Source organism: Homo sapiens, chromosome 1, assembly GCF_000001405.40.
Source record: "Homo sapiens chromosome 1, GRCh38.p14 Primary Assembly".
Taxonomy (NCBI): Eukaryota; Metazoa; Chordata; class Mammalia; order Primates; family Hominidae; genus Homo; species Homo sapiens.
The window spans coordinates 11,981,548-12,000,040 of record NC_000001.11 but is presented as its reverse complement, the minus strand read 5'-3'; the positions used below and the strand labels follow the sequence as shown (position 1 = coordinate 12,000,040).

Sequence of the window (18,493 nt, the reverse complement as noted above, 5' to 3'; positions counted from 1 at the left end):
ACTGCAAGCTCCACCTCCCGGGTTCACGCCGTTCTCCTGCCTTAGCCTCCCGCGTAGCTGGGACTACAGGCGCCTGCCACCATCACACCCGGCTAATTTTTTGTATTTTTAGTAGACACGGGGTTTCACCACGTTAGCCAGGATGGTCTCGATCTCCTGACCTCGTGATCCGCCCACATCGGCCTCCCAAAGTGCTGGGATTACAGGCGTGAGCCACCGCGCCCGGCCTACCCTTTATTTTTTTGGAGATGGCGTTTTGCTACGTCGCCCAAGGTGGTTTCAAATTCCTACTCTCAAGGGATCCTCTCTCAGCCTATAGGTGTGCACCACCATGCCGTTTGTTACCCTTTTGTCTTTCATTTCACATATTTAAAGAGTTGTGAGGCCAGGCGTGGTGGCTCATGCCTGTAATCCCAGCACTTTGGGAGGCTGAGGCAGGTGGATCACCTGAGCCCAGGAGTTCAAAACCAGCGTGGGCAACATGACAAAACCCCGTCTCTACCAAAAATACAAAAATTAGCCAGCCTCATAACCCAGTCTCTAAATAAATAAGTAAATAGCTAAGAGTTGTAAGTCACCAGTAAGAACCAGTTATTCTCCATTCCTCTTTCCAGCCTCTTTCCCAGAGGCCTCCCTAGAGCTGAGCCTGTTCTGTATTAATTCCTCAGAAACCAAACTGAGCACCGGCACTGAAGATGCACTAATGCAGCAGGGATCCTTTTTAGGCCTAGGGGAGAGTGGCTTGAAGAGGGGGTGCATCCAGCAAAGTGGATGGGAGAGGGGAAAGACCACCAGAAGATACCACAGAAGAGTATTTGGAGAATTCTTTGGCAATAAAATTAATTCAGGGAAGTCACTAGATCCAGGGGTGCAGGAAGTGGCCCCAGTGGCAGGCAGTGCTCCCTCGGGGTTGCATTCCCCAAACTGCCAAACAGAAGCACGAACCTCCTCCATGTACTCGGGCTCTGAGGCAGATGCATCCCAGCGGTTGTTCAGGATGAAGATGTTTGGCCGGGAGAGACGCTCACTCACCTTGTGGAAGAAGTGCTTTTCCTAGATAAAGGGTAAGACCTCGGTGGAGCAGGAGCTTGACAGCCAAGGCCCCATCAGCTGCCTGCCCAGGGGGTGCTGGGAGCTTGGGAGAAGGCAGAGGAGGAGTTACCGTCTGCATCAGGGTGGACTCTGAGTTGGCCACCAGCACAAACACATCAGCATCCAGACAAAACTTGTCAATCCAGCTGTCCAGCTCTGTGGTGACATCAATACCAGGGCTAAAGGTGACAGGGGTAAACCAAATCATCAGGCAGAGCAGGAGCCCTATTCTTCCTGCTGAGAACAGACCTGGGACTTGTGAGGCAGGCAGGTCATGGAGGAGAAAGCCAGGGACGGGAGAGAAATCAGGCCTGGCCCTCATTAACGGATTTTACTTCCCATTTCCTATCCTTCCAGATTGCCTGGAAATGAGTGTTTTGTTTTGTTTTGTTTTGTTTTTGGATATAGAGTCTTGCTCTGTCGCCCGGGCTGGAGTGCAATGGCACGATCTCGGCTCACTGCAACCTCCGCCTCCCAGGTTCAAGCGATCCTCCTGCCTCAGCCTCCCAAGTAGCTGGCACTACAGGCACGCACCACCATGCCCAGCTAATTTTTTTGTATTTTTAGTAGAGACAGGGTTTCACCATGTTGGTCAGGCTGGTCTCGATCTCTTGACCTCCTGATCTGCCCGCCTCAGCTTCCCAAAGTGCTAGGATTACAGGCATGAGCCACCGTGCCTGGCAGAAATGAGTGTTTTTAAACACATATATCTATTGCTTTTATAAAAACAGAATTACTTGTAATTCTACTTTAAAGATGATATACCAGGCGGGGCACAGTGGCTCATGCCCGTAATCCCAGCACTTTGGGAGGCTAAGGTGGGCGGATCATGAGGTCAGCAGTTCAAGACCAGCCTGGCCAACATGGTGAAACCCCGTCTCTACTAAAAATACAAAATTTAGCCAGGCATGGTGGCGGGCACCTGTAATCCCAGCTACTCCAGAGGCTGAGGCAGGAGAATCACTTGAACCCGGGAGGCGGAGGTTGCAGTGAGCCGAGACTGCACCACTGCACTCCAGCCTGGGTGACAGAGCAAGACTCTGTCTCAAAAAAAAAAAAAAAAAAAAAAGATGATATACAATTAAGGTGAAGTTGTGACTTGATGTGAGTCCAGATAAACACTACAATACTGTACATGTTGGTATAGTTATAACCAGTCCACCAAGCCAAGGCAAAGTGTTTCTTCAAGGGAAATAAAATACACCTCTGACTCCGCCACAACTCCCCACCCCCAGTACACATGCTGGCACTGGGCTGAGATTGAGAACCTCCCCCACCAACTTTTGAGCATCCCTCCTATCTTTTACAGACCATCCCTGGGACATCTGCAGGGTACTGATAAATAGGTATAGTAACCAGACTCCAGAGGAAAGCCAAGAGGCCAGAGGATTTGGTTGAGCCCATCTGAAAGGTAGTAATACTTAAGCAGAGCAAGGATGGGGCCCAGGGACCCTGGCCTAGATTATCCAGAAATGGAAACCTGGTGCCTTCCAGTTTGGACCTCCTAGGAGGGCACCTCCCTCTTACCTGTCCATCAAAACGAGGTCATCCTTCAGAAGTGGGCACTTAGAGTTGGGCCACATCACACTCACTAGGCTGCCGGCATGGAGCTGCTTGTCCTGGTGGAGGGCATGGGCCAGCTGGTTCACAGTCTGATGGCAGAGGAAGGAAAGAAAGAGGCTGAGGAGGAACCACCAGGCCAGGAGATTTCCTGTGCCGCTGCATCACAGCACAGTGGCTGGGAATGCTGCCCATCTGCTACCCTTTCTTCTTCCACATATAAAAAGTTAACAGCTGGGAGTTGTCAATAAGAACCCACTTTCTTCACTGCTCTTTTGAGCTTCTTTCCCGGATATCACCCTAAAGTCATCTGTTCTGCACTGATTGATTCTTTTTTTTTTTTTTTTTTTGAGACGGAGTCTCGCTCTGTCACCCAGGTTTGGAGTACAGTGGCGTGATCTCAGCTCACCACAACCTCCACCTCCTGGGTTCAAGCAGTCCTCCTGCCTCAGCCTCGCGACTAGCTGGGATTACAGGTGCCTACCACCACGCCCAGCTAATTTTTGTATTTTTAGTAGAGATGGGGTTTCACCATGTTGGCCAGGCTGGTCTTGAACTCCTGACCTCAAATGATCCATCCACCTCGGCCTCCCAAAGTGCTGGGATTACAGGCGTGAGCCACCGTGCCCGACCAATTGATTCTTTATGAAGCAAATTGAGCATCTGGCCCCAAACAAGAATGCAGCTGCCTCTCAGAAAACTCAGAGTGTCGGTCCCTGACTGATAGGTCAGAGACACACAGCAAATGCAGGAATTCCTCTCTGGCAATATCCCAAGGAAGAACACAGCACATACTGTCTTCCTTAATTAGTGAAGAGAGGTCAGTGGCCACTCAGAGCTGTATGAGGAACAGCAGGGTCCTCATTCTTGGTGATCCACGTTTCTGAAAACCACCTCCGCCAGCCCCCAAAAGCTCTTACATCCTTCAAAAAGTTCATCTAAAATAGGGTCTCCCATTCACCTCCACAGGGTGGTGCTGCCCCCTCCCTAGAGGTGAGGTCAGCCGTGTCACAACGGAGGACTTGCTCCCCCAGCAGGCACAGGGCTGACAGCCAGCCTGGCACCCTCACCTTGGCACTCCTCTTTTCCTCTGAGCCCTCGGTAAGGAGAAAGGCCTCATGGCCATCTGTGCCCTCTACCCGCAGGAAGCAATTGGTGGTGTGGCCAATCCCAGAGGGCAGAACTTTGTCCCAGAGCATGGCATTGATCACGGTGCTCTTCCCATTGCTCGTCCTAGAAGGAAGTAACAGCTGTCAGCAAAGCCACCAGTATCTGACCTGAATTACTTTCACAACGCAGATACCAGCCTGGAAGGCCAAAGCCCTATTCAGTGCAATGTTGCCAGTGCCCAGACAGTGCTGAGAGACAAAGAGTAGGCACTGTTTATTAAAATGAATAAACACCCCCAGGCCCAAACCTCTGACATGCCCCTGGTTCATCATTTCAGATCAATCTACAAGAGGCTCACTGCGTGCTGTCTGCCCCTTGAATCACACAGCCACCCTCAGCAACACTTATAGAGACTGTCTGTCTGTCTCCAAAGTTTAATTCAGGCCTACCTGAAACACCGACTAACCCCCAGAGTGTCTTCCTCAGTCTAAATGACCCCAGTGTTTCCTACACAGGGCATGTTTCGCTGCTTTTCTCCCATCACGCTCCTCCTTACACATGAAGCTCCACCTTGTGAGTCCCAGCTGACAACTGCCAGGCTAAAGGGAAGGTTACTTTCTCATTCTTTTTTTTTTTATTGTTATTTGAGACAGAGTCTCACTCTGTCGCCCAGGCTGGAGTGCAGTGGCACGATCTCAGCTCATCGCAACCTCTGCCTCCTGAGTTCAAGCAATTCTCCTGCCTCAGCCTCCCAAGTAGCTGGGACTACAGGCATGTGCCACCATGCCCGGCTAATTTTTGTATTTTGAGTAGAGACAGGGTTTCACCATGTTGGCCAGACTGGTCGCGAACTCCTGACCTCAGGTGATTTGCCTGCTTCAACCTCCCAAAGTGCTGGGATTACAGGCATGAGCCACCATGCCCAGCCTACTTTCTCATTCTTACCTATCACACCCCTTTCATGTATTCTGGTGGGGTTTTTTGTTGTTGTTGTTGTTGTTTGTTTTTTTTGATATGGGATTTTGCTTTCTCGCCCAAGCTGGAGTGCAGTAGCGTGTGGCATGAATATAGCTCACTGCAGCCTCGACCATCAGGGCTCAATGATCCTCCCACCTCAGCCTCCCAAGTAGCTTAGACTATAGGTACCACCTATATATAGACTATAGCTGCGACCACGCCCAGCTAATTTTTAAATTTTTGGTAGAGATGGGGTCTTGCCATGTTGCTCAGGCTGGTCTCAAACTCCTGGGCTCAAGCAATTCTCCTGCCTCAGCCTCCCAGTGCTGAGATTACAGGTGTGAACCACTGCACCCCACCATTTCTGCTTCTTGAGAATAGCTCTGCTCAGCAGACTCATCTGCTCTGAGTCTCAGAGCTTTCAACCTGTGCTAAACACAGTGTTTCTCATTCTGAGTTGAAGTTTCTCAGCCATATCACTAGAGCAGAACTACAATGACCTTACCTGCACCCAGTGAGACAGGAAGCCCACTAGCTCACCTAAGTAGGGGGTCATACCTCCCAGGTGAGGATGAAGAAATGATAGTTCAGAGGAGTAGAGGACCACACCTGAGGTTACAGTTCATCAGGGTCAAGACTCTAGGCACAGTGCCTATTCCCCAGGCTACCACTGTGTGCCTAGCATACAATCTGTCTAGATGCCTTTTTTCTTGTATTAGATTTTTTTTTTTTGAGACGGAGTCTCACTCCGTCACCTAGGCTGGAGTGCAGTGGCGCGATCTTGACTCACTGCAACCTCCACCTCCTGGGTTCATGCCATTCTCCTGCCTCAGCCTCCCAAGTAGCTGGGACTACAGGCGCCCGCCACCACACCCAGCTAATTTTTTTTGTATTTTTAGTAGAGATGGGGTTTCACCGTGTTAGCCAGGATGGTCTCAATCTCCTGACCTTGTGATCTGCCTGCCTTGGCCTCCCAAAGTGCTGGGATTACAGGCGTGAGCCACCGTGCCTGGTCATTATACAAGTTATAAATGTTTGGCCTAGTACTTTAGGTACATTGTGGCTTCACAAGGGCCAGTGTTAAAACTGCTTCCATGTCAAAGCAAAGAAAACTGCCTACATATTGGTTTGTCCTGGTGGGGAATAAAAAGGATCATTGGTTCCAGTCACAGGTATAGTAAATGTGGGTACTTTAAGGTTTGGAGCACTTACAAGGCTGTGGTAGAAACAGATACCCCATGGTTATCACATGTTAAACCATGTGTGTCTGTGGAATACTCAATCTCAATGTGCACACCTTTGACTACAGCTGTGGAAGTGTTCCTTTAAACAAAGTTGTGACCCATTTCAATCTGGATAAGGGCAGAAATGGTTCACACTCCATTATTTGTAAAGTTATCTGCTGTTAGCTTTCATTATTTTTGCTACACTCATTTTATTTGTATTTAAAATGTTTCAGGCAACCTAAGAACAAATGTAAAAGTAAAGATGCAGGAAAAATGAATACTTCATGTATATCAAGCTAGCAGTAAAACAAAACAAAAAAAACACGTATTTAACTTATTTTTAGATTTTTTTTTTTTTTTTTGAGATGGAGTCTCACTGTCGCCCAGGCTGGAGTGCAGTGGCCCGATCTCGGCTCACTGCAGGCTCCGCCCCCTGGGGTTCACACCATTCTCCTGCCCTAGCCTCCCAAGTAGCTGGGACTACAGGCGCCCGCCACCTCACCCGGCTAATTTTTTGTATTTTTAGTAGAGATGGGGTTTCACTGTGTTAGACAGGATGGTCTCGATCTCCTGACCTCGTGATCCACCTGCCTCGGCCTCCCAAAGTGCTGGGATTACAGGTGTGAGCCACCATGCCCGGCATATTTTTAGATTCTTTGCTTTTGTGATTTTTTTTTGATGCTTGCCTAACATGCATGCACTGTAAAAATAGTTAACAGGGAAATAACTTGAGATGATGGCTAGCTTTGTTTAATGTCTTACGAAATTTTCATGAACAATACAAGCACAATTGTTAAGAACACGTGTATTAAATTCATGTAAGTGGAATAAAAGTTTTATGAATGGAGAAAAAAAAACAAATACTGTATGATTCCACTTACGTGAGACATCTAGAATAGTCAAATTCATAGGGACAGAAAGTAGAATGGTGGTGGCCAGGGCAAGGGACATGTGGGACAGGGAGTTATTGTTTAATGGCTATAATACAAGCTTCAGTTCTGCAAGATGAAAAAGCTCTTGAGACTGGTTGCAAATATACCTACTAGTGAATTGTATGCTTAAAATGGTTAAGGTGGTAAATTTTATATTATATGCCTTTAACCTTAATTAGAAAATAAAAAAAAAAAAGTCAGGCTTGATGGCATGCACCTGCAGTCCCAGCTGCTCAGGAGGCTCAGGTGGGAGGATCACCTGAGCCCAGGGAGGTCGAGGCTGTAATGAGCTTCCAGCCTGGGTGACAGAGAACCCTGTCTCAAAAATCAAATAAATAAATAAAATATAAATTAAGAGGAAAGCAATGAATTCTGAAGCATGTCCCTGCCTGGAACGTTCTGTGACCTTGCACAAAGTGCCTCCCTCCCTCCTAGCCAGGAAGAAAGAAAGGGTGGGTGCCTCAAGGACTTACCGGCCAAAAAAAGCCACTTTCATGTGCCTCCGAGCCAGCACCTCACTGATGCCTCTCACTTTGGATAGGTAACCTTTGACGTCCAGAACCTGTTCTTCTGTGGTAACGGGGTCCAGTTCTGCATTCCTGTACGTGTCTGGAGGTGGGGATTGAAAATGGGTCACCACGTGGTCAGAGGAGTTCCACAGTCCCAAGTCTGGAAGGGCCAGAGCGCCGGCCCTGCTTACCCTAAACGAGTCCACCTCTGGCACCCTGCAGCCGACAGGCTGAGCTCCAGATCCTCTATGGTGGCCCCACGGTGTGGTGGTTAAGAAGATGGCTCAGGAGCAACACTGCCTGGTTCTGAAGCTGGTTCTTACCACTTTCTAGCTCTGTGGCCTCAAGCAAAAGAACCTTTCTGGGTCTTAGTTTCCTTAAGCACAAAACGGAGATAACTACATTATCTACTTCATGAGAACATCGTGAGGATCAAACGAATTGAAACACAAATGCTGTGAATGGCGGCTGGTAGAAGATGAATACTTAAATGTTAACTGCCTTCCTTGTTTATTTTTTCTTAACAAATATTTACGAAGTTCTTACCACATGCCAGGCACTGTTCCTTTCACTTTTCAAATTCATTCTCTCCTTTGGTCCTCTTTATTAACATGGCTCCGGAGTTAGTAAAAGGCAGAGCTATGATTTGAATTAGGCAGCCTGGCTCTGGAGTCCAGGCTCTTAACCACTCTATGTCACTTCTTTTTTTTTTTTTTTTTTTTTTTTTTTTTGAGACGGAGTCTCGCTCTGTCGCCCAGGCTGGAGTGCAGTGGCGGGATCTGGGCTCACTGCAAGCTCCGCCTCCCGGGTTCACGCCATTCTCCTGCCTCAGCCTCCCAAGTAGCTGGGACTACAGGCGCCCGCCACTACGCCCGGCTAATTTTTTGTATTTTTAGTAGAGACAGGGTTTCACCGTTTTAGCCGGGATGGTCTCGATCTCCTGACCTCGTGATCCGCCCGCCTCGGCCTCCCAAAGTGCTGGGATCACAGGCGTGAGCCACCGCGCCCGGCCTCTATGTCACTTCTTGAGGCCCTCCCTGCCCTGGCCCTGTTGGCCTCTTGCCACCCGCTGCCTCACGGTCTCCCTCACCATATCCCCAAACTCACCAGCTTCCTCGGCCCTCTGGCTCCATTCCCTGCTGCCCAAACCCCCTCCCCACTCTCTGAAGAACTGACACACTACACTGCCTTGGGGCAGCGTGGCTCATTCTCACTTGGCCTCCGGTCTAGCTTAGACAGCACTGCCCCCAGGAAGCCTTCTCTGACCACCCCTCTAACCTGAGTCAGGACCCCGGACCCCTTCTCTGTGTGCCCCAGCACCCTGCACTTCTCCCATCTCAGCTCTCACCTCACCATAAGGTAACTGTACAGCTCACCTGTCTGTGTCATCTGCCTCATGAGGGCCACACTATCTGACCCCAGCACCCAGCAGGTGCACAAATGTTTGCTACGTGAGCAGACCTTTGGATCACTGCACTGCTTTTTCCCAGTGCCCTTAACAGGCAGATGGCCAACAAATTACTCCATACAGGAGCAACTGAGTGAGATCCCACCACTGTCCTGTCTAGAACTCGCACCAGACAGGTGCTTCAGCTGGCTGGAACACAGACGGGTGTTTAGCCCCTCTGCACACTCCTGGGAACTATGAGGCTGACAGGCCCCAGCCCTGAGAACACTCCGAAAGCATCTGAAGCATGACAAGGGCCTGCCCAGTGAATTTCCCCCACAGCCAGCGCCATGAAAGGAAATGACCAAGTCAACAACACCCCCATCTCCCCTCCCGCTATGTCCACCGGTCACCTCTGCCCCAGATGCATCAATATTCCTCCCTTATATGGGCACCTGGGCATGGCCTTTGGAATGTCCCTCGGAGGAAGCTGGCTCTCAAGCATGTGACTACACTTAAAAGCGAGAGCCAGCAGGCCAACAAGCTCTTGTTACCTGCCCGTTAGAAACAGTGCCCAGGCAGGAACCATTCTTTCCCTGACCCAGCACAGCTCAGGATCACTCCAGCTCTTTCCCTTCCATTTAAACAACAGGGGAGGCCTCATATTTTCACACACAGAGAAATCAAAGCATGCATCACATAAACACCTGCATTACGCATGTGTTTGTCCACCACATCATCTGAGTAGGTGACTCAGAGCTTCCAAGAGGGTTAGTCTGGGCTCCCAGAGGGGAGCGGCCTGATCTACCCCATCTCTGCATGCCCAGCACCTGGCACACGGCTGGCACACCATAGCCACTGATAAACAGGCAATGAGTTGGGATTATTTCAACTACCAATCATACTACTTTAAAATTCAGATTTGTTTTAGTTCAACAAGTATTTAGGAAACACCTTCTGTGGCATCAAGCGCCACGCAAAGGGCAGGGCACAGATGAGGGCATGAAGTTGGACAGTCTCTTTCTTCAAAGGGAGCCTCGTGTAGCAGCCTGGCATGTAAAACAACGAGAAGCCAAGCTGCTCTATTTGAAAGCAGAATGGAAAGAAGGTGGCCCCCCTGAGCCAGGGGCCAACCCCCGAAGCACCACCACTGAACTTCTAGGGTTCTGCAGACTAGAATCTGAAACCACTGTTCACACCTGAGCCCCACTTTCACAAGTGAGGAAACCAAGGGCAGATAAGACTCAGTTACTGGGTCTCCACAGACAATCTCAGGACCTGGCGCCAAAGTGTCCTTCTAAAGAGGGAGCCTGAGGAAGCCAGTGCTGGAGTTGACACTCAGACGAGCGGGGCCCTGGGAACCAGTCCTTCTCTGCTGATAGACAAGGAACTAGAGGTTGGGCTCAAATTAGTAACTAGTAGAAAAGGCATAGGTGACGTGAGTTTCCTATAGTTCTGTCACCAATCTAAAAATATCAAAGAAAGGGCGCCCTGGTCAGGGATCACTGACACCCAAACAGTGCCTGGTATTAATGGCAGCCAGAACTAGGCAAAGGAAAACACGTGGGCTCCGGAGTTGGAGACACCTGGGTAAAACCCTGATCTATTACTTACAAGGTATCGGACAACTCTCAAACCTCAATTTGCTTGCCTTGTAGATGGGGATAAGATTCACCTATCTTTCATGATTAAATGAAACAAAACATGTGGACTTCTTAAAGTAATTACTAAATGGCAGTTCCCTTGTCTTCCTGGCCTCATCTCCCCAGACTCCAATTCCACATGATTTCAAGAGCAGAGCATTTCTAAGGCTATCTGGTTATGACTTCCCTGGGAGCAGAGATATACCTCCCCACCCGCAAATCCCACTAGCTAAATATCTAAACAGGTAAGAGCGGGCCTGGCTGAGCCGGTGCCCCCTTACCTTCAAGGAAGGTGGCGCTCTCCTGGATGTAGGCCCCCAGCTGCTCAAAAATGCCATTGATCTTCTTCTTGGCAGTGACAAAGTGCTTAAGTGGGGATGCATTCACCTCAGCCATGTGTCTCTTATTTTTCTTGACTGTGACGATAGAGTTGCATCGAGAGAAGAGCAGGGACATTGCGCTGCAAGAGAAGCTAACGTGAGCGAACCCAGCAACACCTACCTCGGGACATCCTGCTAGGGAGATGGCGGAATGCTTTGGGGAGAATCAAGAATATGGGGATCTCAGGTCACTGCAACCTCCAGGACTAGAACAAAGGACGGTGAGATAAGAACAGTGTCTCAGGCTGGGCGCGGTGGCTCACCCCTGTAATCTCAGAACTTTGGGAGGTTGAGGCAGGTGGATCACCTGAGGTCAGGAGTTCAAGACCAGCCTGGCCAACATGGTGAAACCCCCGTCTCTACTAAAAATACAGTAATTAGCCAGACCCAATGGCACACACCTGTAATCCCAGCTACTTGGGAGGCTGAGACAGGAGAATCACTTGAACCTGGGAGATGGAGGCTGCAATGAACCAAGATCATGCCATTGTACTCCAGCCTGGGTGACAGGGCGAGATTTTGTCTCAAAAAATAAAACAAAATTAGCATGACACAGTGGCATGCATCTGCAGTCCTAGCTACTTGGGAGTCTGAGGTGGGAGGGTCACTTGAGCCCAGGAGTTTCGGCTGCAGTGACCTATGATCAGTCCACTGCACTCTAGCCTGGGAGACAGAGCAAGACCACATAAAAACACTATTGGTTAGGGGCCAGGTTCAGTGGCTCATACCTATAATCCCAGCACTTTGAGAGGCCAAGGCAGGCAGATCACTTGAACTTTGGAGTTCGAGACAAGCCTAGGCAATGTAGGACCCCGTCTCTATTTAAAAAAAAAAAAAAAAACAGCCAGGCATGGTGGGTTATGCCTGTAATCCCAGCACTCTGGGAGGCTGAGGCAAGTGGATCACAAGGTCAGGAGTTCAAGACCAGCCTGGCCAACATGATGAAACCCCGTCTCTACTAAAAATACAAAAAAATATAGCCGGGTGTGGTGGTGGCCGCCTATAATCCCAGCTACTTGGGAGGCTGAGGCAGAGAATTGCTTGAACCTGGGAGGCGGAGGTTGCAGTGAGCCGAGATCGCACCACTGTACTCCAGCCTGGGTGACAGAGCCAGACCAAGTCTCAACAAAGAAAAACACACACACACACACACACACACAAAAACTATTGGTCTATTTTAGTATAGCACAGGTGTGCTACAGAAAATTTGGAAACTGAAGGGGAAAAAAACCCATAACCCCATCATTTTGTGATAAGCAATGTTAACATTTTATTTACTTATTTATTTTTTATTTTGAGACAAGATCTCGCTGTTACCTGGGCTGGAGTGCAGTGGCGCAATCACAGCTCACTGCAGCCTCAACCTCTTGGGTCCAAGCAATCCTCCCACCTCAGCCTCCTGAGTACATGAGACCACAGGCATGCACCACCACGCCCCACTAATTTTTTTAAAATTTTTTGTAGAGACAGGGTCTTCTTATGTTGCCCAGGCTGCTCCCAAACTCTTGGGCTCCAATGATCCTCTCACTTTGGATTCCCAAAGTGTTGGGATTAAAGTGCTGGGATTAAAGGCGTGAGCCACCATGCCCAGCCAACATTTTTTTTTTTTTTTTCTGAGACAGAGTCTTGCTCTATCGCTCAGGCTGGAGTGCTGTGGCATGATCTCGGCTCACTGCAACCACCACCTCCCGAGTTCAAGCTATTCTCCTGCCTCAGCCTCCCAAGCAACTGGGACTACAGGCACTCGCCACCATGCCCGGCTAATTTTTGTATTTTCAGTAGAGGTGGGGTTTCACCATGTTGGCCAGGTAGGTCTTGAACTCCTGACCTCAAATGATCCACCCACCTTGTCCTCCGAAAGTGCTGGGATTACAGGCATGAGCCACCACGCCCGGCCCAACATTTTGTTTATTATAATTTTTTTTTTTTTTTTGAGACAGAGTCTCACTTTTGTCACCCAGGCTGGGTGCAGTGGTGCAATCTCAGCTCACTACAACCTCCACCTCCCAGGTTCAAGCGATCCTCCTGCCTCACTCAGCCTCCTGAGTAGCTTGGAGTACGGGCATGTACCACCACACCCAGCTAATTTTTTTATTTTTCGTAGACAGGGCTTCACCATGTTGGCCAGGCTGGTCTCAAACTCCTGACCTCAAGTGATCCATCTGCTTCGGCCTCCCGAAGTGCTGGGAATACAGGCGTGAGCCACCGTACCCAGCCATATTATCACAGTCTATTTTTGTGTGACTGTCTCTCTTGCTCTCACTCAATCCTACATATCTTTGTAGCTTATCTTTTCATATAACAACATTTTAGAGGTCATGAGACTTGACTCCAAAGTCCTAGAGGTCTTTGGTCAAAGGTCAAAAGAGGCTGGGCATGGTGGCTCACACCTATAATCCCTGCACTTTGGGAGGCCCAGGCGGGTGGATCACTTGAGACCAGCCTGGCCAACATGGTGAAACCCCTTCTCTGCTAAAAATACAAAAATTAGCCAGGCATGGTGGCAGGCACCTGTAATCCCAGCTACTCGGGAGGCTGAGGCACGAGAATTGCTTGAACCTGGGAGCTGGAAGTTGCAGTGAGCTAAGATCGCGCCATTGCACTCCAGCCTGAGCAATAGAGCAAGACTCCATCTCAAAAAAAAAAAAAAAAAGATCAAAAAGAGGCGTACACACCAGAAGGAGTGCCCAGGGTAAGACTGGGAATTCCGACCCCAAAAGTGGACCCCTGCCAGGTCCCTCAGAGTTCCCACCACGGCGAAAGCTACTTCTTGAGCAGAGCCCACCAATCCCAGGAAGTCAAAGGGCAAAGGCCCTCCTGGATGAGGGGGTGTGTGCACAGCTGACTGTGCCTGGGTCTGTCACTGCCTCCCCAGCCACCCTAATCTTACTGCTCAGTTCTCCACCCAGCAGTAAGCTCACTCTCTCTAGATTGGAAATGAGGTGTTGCTCCCCAGCAAGCACACGTGAAAAACTTCCAAATGGGGCCAAAGTATGTTGCACAAGGTCCTGAAAAGCAGAAAGAACACCCGGAAGAGGTACATGAAGACCAAATGCCAAAACGGACTTTTAGTAACTAACCATCCCAAAGAGTGGGCAGAAGACAGACCGACCCAAAGCGGGATAGGGACCCACATGTGTGCCCAAACCAACAAGTTCTTGTGCAATGTTAATGATTCCTCTGGAGACAAGGGAAGGAAGTGACCCCACTTCCGTTTCTACATTCCTCCTCAGCATGACGCCACAGCTATGAGAGATGTTTTCTCAGCATGGAAGCCATATGTCCAGGGCTTAAAGACAGTACAGCTCTGAGAAAGGAAACTGCAAAGAAAATGCTACTCTCACTCTTCCAAAGCAGCAAAGGAGAGTGCGCTGAAATGAGGCTTGCCATGGCCTGGCAGATCAGACTGTTCGAGAAAGAGGGGATGTGGCAGGCACAAGAGGAAAGCCATCCAAAAGGAATAGAAAAGGGATCAGGGGTCAGGCACGGTGGCTCATGCCTGTAATCCCAGCACTTTGGGAGGCCGAGGCAGGCAGCTCACCTGAGGTCAGGAGTTCAAGACCAGTCTAGCCAACATGGTGAAACCCCGTCTCTATGAAAAATACAAAAAATTAGCTGGGTGTGGTGGCGCATGCCTGTAGTCCCAGCTACTCCAGAGGCCAAGGCAGGAGAATCACTTGAACCTGGGAGGTAGAATTTGCAGTGAGCCAAGATCTCGCCACTGTACTCCAGCCTGGGTGACAGAGCGAAGTCTCTCTCTTTAAAAAAAAAAAAAAAAAAAAAAAAAAAGGGATCAAGGATGGGGCATGATATAGCACTACCTATGACAGGTTTTGTAATCAGGCAGAGCTGGGTTCAAATTGTGACTACATTATTTCTGGGCTGCTTAAACTTAAGCAAGTTATTTCATCACAGAACCTTGGTTTCTTCATGTGTACAACAAACAAGACACCTACTGGAGAGAGAAACTGTCTCAAATTATCTTTTTTCTCTACTCTCACACCATAATCATCAACACAAGAGACTTCTGTGACCAAATGTGAGGGGGTTTCTTCCCCACACACCAACCAGCGGACAGCAGCTGGGTATCCTCTCATTCAGTTCCCATGCTGTCTACCTGGAGAGAGTGTCAGATCCCACAGGTTGAGGGCTCAGTCCCCAGGACTGCCCCGCCTCTCCACCACCACCCCTCAAACATACCAGTTGCAAGTCTGGGCCTCCAGAATTTCTCACCGACTGGCTTCAGGCTGGGGTTCCCATGACCCCCTCTTTGAGTTCAATTAATTTGATGGAGCAGCCTACCTAGCCCAGGGAAACACTTACTTACGTTTACCAGGTTATTATGAGGGATATCGCAAAGGATACAGATAAGGAGACGCTTAGGGCGAGGTATGGGGGAAGAGGCGTGTAGTTTCTGTGCCCTCCCTGAGCAGGCCTCTCTCTAGGAACCTCCGTGTGTTCAGCTATCCACAAGCTCCCTGAACTCTGTCCTCTTGGATTTTTATGGAAGCTTCATGACATCAGCATTCCTTCCCCCAGGATACAGGGTCCACCCCTCTCAGGGGAGGGTTTTAAGGCCCACAATCAGGTGGGGAAAGATTAGGGTGGAAGGAGAGCAGAAGGTCAGAGGCCTGCCCCTGAGGCCTAACACATCTAACATTATATCAAAAAACCATAACAAGGGCTGTGGATAGGAGTTATGAGCCTGGATCCGTGGATGAAAACCAATATCCTAATACCACAATACCATCTAAACTGTGAGAAGACTAAAGTTGATGACGCAAGCAACATGCTTCACTACAGTAAGAGCTAAAGGCAGCTTTACATGTTATAAAACAATAACAACAAACTCTACCAGCAAGATCACAAGACTCTCTCCATGAACACCCAGCCTTCAGGGAGGGCAGAGGCAACTCCGCCAACTCACACCACACACACCACTCCCTTACCCGCTATCACGGAGATCAAATAAACAGGTCAGCTGGGGAAGGATCAGCGATACCCCACTCCAGAAGTGACTTGCTGCAGGAAGCAAGTTCCCTGCCATCAGAAGCAGGTGCTTTTAAGTTCTGGTCAATGTTTGCAAGCCCAGGAGATATAAAACCAAAAGCATTAGTGCTCACTAACTGCAAGACTCGACAGCGTGTACACCAGTAGAAGCTTGGGAGCTCCAGGTTACAAGGTCTGCTGGGAGTTCAGCCGGTCCAGGAGCCTCCCTGCTCTCACTAATACCCAGCCTGCAGCTGCATCCAAACCCCTGGCGTAAAACCTACTGTCAACCCCTCCAAACTCTGCCTGATTTATCTGGCTCTGCTAACTTGCAAGCTGAGATTCCACATCTGTGTTGCATGAGCTGCTTTCTGCCTGGAATCCTCCTTCCTTTTCCACCCATTTGGCATACTCCTACTGTCCTTCTAGACCCAACTCAAGTGTCACCCGCTCCATGAAGCCTCCTCTGATGCCTCATAGAGAACAAACAACATCACAGACTTCTGGTTTTTATCACATCCTGTGTTCCCCAATTATCTCAAGGCTTTGACTGCTGACTCCCTACTCCTCCAGGGTGATGCAGGGCAGCTGGGTTCCTCCTCTGCCTCTGGAAAGCCTTGATAATCTCTGCTTCACCACAGACCTTGCCACAGGCACGTGGGGACCATCCTGCAAGCATAGCCTGAGAGCCCAGCTCCAACATCAGTGACACACTAAGCGTCACACTTCAAGCTGTGACTGCCTCATAAGTGCTCTGGAGATTACTGTTTTGGATAGTTTCTGGCAGCACTTCCCAAAGCGTGGTCCACAGAACTCGACTTGCACCCAATATCCCATGTAAAGAAGGTTCAATAGTAGAATCAGTTTGTAAAACACCATATGCTAGGCCAGGCGCGGTGGCTCACGCCTGTAATCCCAGCACTCTGGGAGGCCGAGGTGGGTAGATCACAAGGTCAGGAGTTCGAGACCATCCTGGCTAACACGGTGAAACCCCATCTCTACTAAAACTACAAAAAATTAGCCAGGCATGGCAGCATGCACCTGTAGTACAGCTACTCGGGAGGCTGAGGCAGGAGGATAGTGTGAACCTGGGAGGCAGAGCTTGCAGTGAGCCAAGATCACGCCACTGCAAGATCGCGCCACTGCACTCCAGCCTGGGTGACAGAGCAAGACTCTGTCTCAAAAAAAACAAAAAACAAACAAACAAACAAAAAACACCATATGCTACCATTTTCCTCAGTGGAGCACGTGAGCACAGCAAAAGAGTTTGGGAAGGAAGCCTTGTTGTAAAGACACTAGTTTAACTGTGTTGAATTCAGCATTTCACAAATATAATCAATGAAAAAACCCTTCTGTGTAATAGCTTTTAAAATCCCGAGGATCACACTTTAGGGAAAAGCCCACTCTTTCTGGTACTCTCCTGCCCCTACCCCTAAAAAGTGCCAGGGCACAGTATTAATAAATATTAACCTAAGACCAGAAATGAACCCAGTTCTAAATGGAAACTGCTATTAGCCCTCCAAGGTGGTCAACAGCTTTGCCTCAACCTAGGCTATTCGTTGAGGAGTATTAGGTATCTTGGGTGTAGAGACAGCAGTAGCAAAATTCACTGCAAGGTGTGTTTGGATCCCAAGCACAGTCCCTGAATCCACACCACCTCCTTACCCAGTGTTATGTACAGCAACTCCTAGCAGGGAAAATAAAATGGATCCACGGATCGTCTGCTGGCACAACTGGAAAAGAGGAGAAGCTGAGAAATCGAAACAAAAAGAGTATACAGGGTAAAGGGGACAGAGCAGAGTCTTAAAAGAGCAGTGACAAGGAGCCAACCTGTGCTGGGCCGAGATGGGGAAGAGCCAGCACAGCAGAGACCAAATGAGGGAGACAGAGACTAACTCTTCAGGGAGCCCAAGAGATCCCAGCCACTTCTGAACTGTCAACTTTTAAACAGGCTCTCTAAGCAACCAGCGAAATCCTTCACGGAAGTAAAAGATACGGTAGTTTTTCAACACAAGTTAGAAAGCTGTGGCTCTATACAAAGAGGATGCCATTCAAGAGACTTGCCACCAGAGGTCCAGGAGAGCACACCCCTGTCCACTCAGCTCAAATCCAGGGTGCCAGAAGTCACAGCTACTACTTACTTTTTTGGATGGTGAGAGATCTTCACAGGGTAGGCATCATGGACATGGCTGAAGTCCAAAAGACAAAAAGATTCTGAGTTCTCTTCTGTCCTGTCTCAGGTTGAGGTTGGCTATTGATTGACTGTGTTGACTCCACCAGTCCTGACTTATTAGAAAAGAAAAGGGAGATGGATCCGGTGTCCAAAAAAAAAAAACACTGGTGTACAAAACATGTCTAATCAGGTTTCAAGCCAAACAAACTCATCCCTGAGGGAAGCTTACTCATTGAGGTATTGGGGAGTTGCGCTGGCATGTGAGGAAGTGCCCTGGGGAAAAAAACGCAGAGGTGTGGGACCAATCCTGACTGTGCACACGTATTCCGCCATGTGCGGGTTTGAGGCACCACGGAGGTCCCTGCAGGAGCCCTGGGAAAGGTACATCCAGAGAGGGGAGAAGAGGACAGAGCAAAACTAGGAACAAAACTGGGCTTGAGGACTGTGGAACAGCTGACTATTGAGGAACAGAAGAACTGACTGAAAGCCAATGTGTTCAGCTACTGTAAAGTATCTCACTTAATTCTCTATTCTG

General features: G+C 49.1%; 1 protein-coding gene across 8 annotated transcripts in view, besides 1 other annotated feature; it reads right to left on the bottom strand.

Moving 5' to 3' along the window:
• MFN2 (mitofusin 2) overlaps window positions 1-18,493 on the bottom strand; it is a 33,065-nt gene that overhangs the window by 13,468 nt on the left and 1,104 nt on the right. Inside the window, exons 2-10 of one of the 8 annotated variants that reach the window (XM_047436154.1) lie at window positions 18,188-18,231; window positions 17,927-18,071; window positions 17,451-17,518; window positions 10,698-10,876; window positions 7,351-7,486; window positions 3,723-3,885; window positions 2,620-2,744; window positions 1,163-1,271; window positions 946-1,053 (exon numbers count right to left, since the gene is read on the bottom strand). In XM_047436154.1, coding sequence (XP_047292110.1) covers window positions 946-1,053; window positions 1,163-1,271; window positions 2,620-2,744; window positions 3,723-3,885; window positions 7,351-7,486; window positions 10,698-10,872 — 816 coding nt within the window. In that variant the 5' untranslated portion in view covers window positions 10,873-10,876; window positions 17,451-17,518; window positions 17,927-18,071; window positions 18,188-18,231. Of the gene's footprint in view, window positions 1-945; window positions 1,054-1,162; window positions 1,272-2,619; window positions 2,745-3,722; window positions 3,886-7,350; window positions 7,487-7,577; window positions 7,850-10,697; window positions 10,877-17,450; window positions 17,519-17,926; window positions 18,072-18,187; window positions 18,232-18,493 lie in introns of those variants that run through there. The other 7 variants (XM_047436149.1, XM_005263543.4, XM_005263548.4 and 4 more) reach the window with 7 other exon arrangements.
• Window positions 17,756-17,855: an enhancer, noted in NCBI's record as "active region_183". NCBI's record gives its function as "activates an Ori minimal core promoter by ATAC-STARR-seq in GM12878 lymphoblastoid cells {active_cell/tissue: GM12878}" and the evidence as "EXISTENCE:reporter gene assay evidence [ECO:0000049][PMID:35858748]".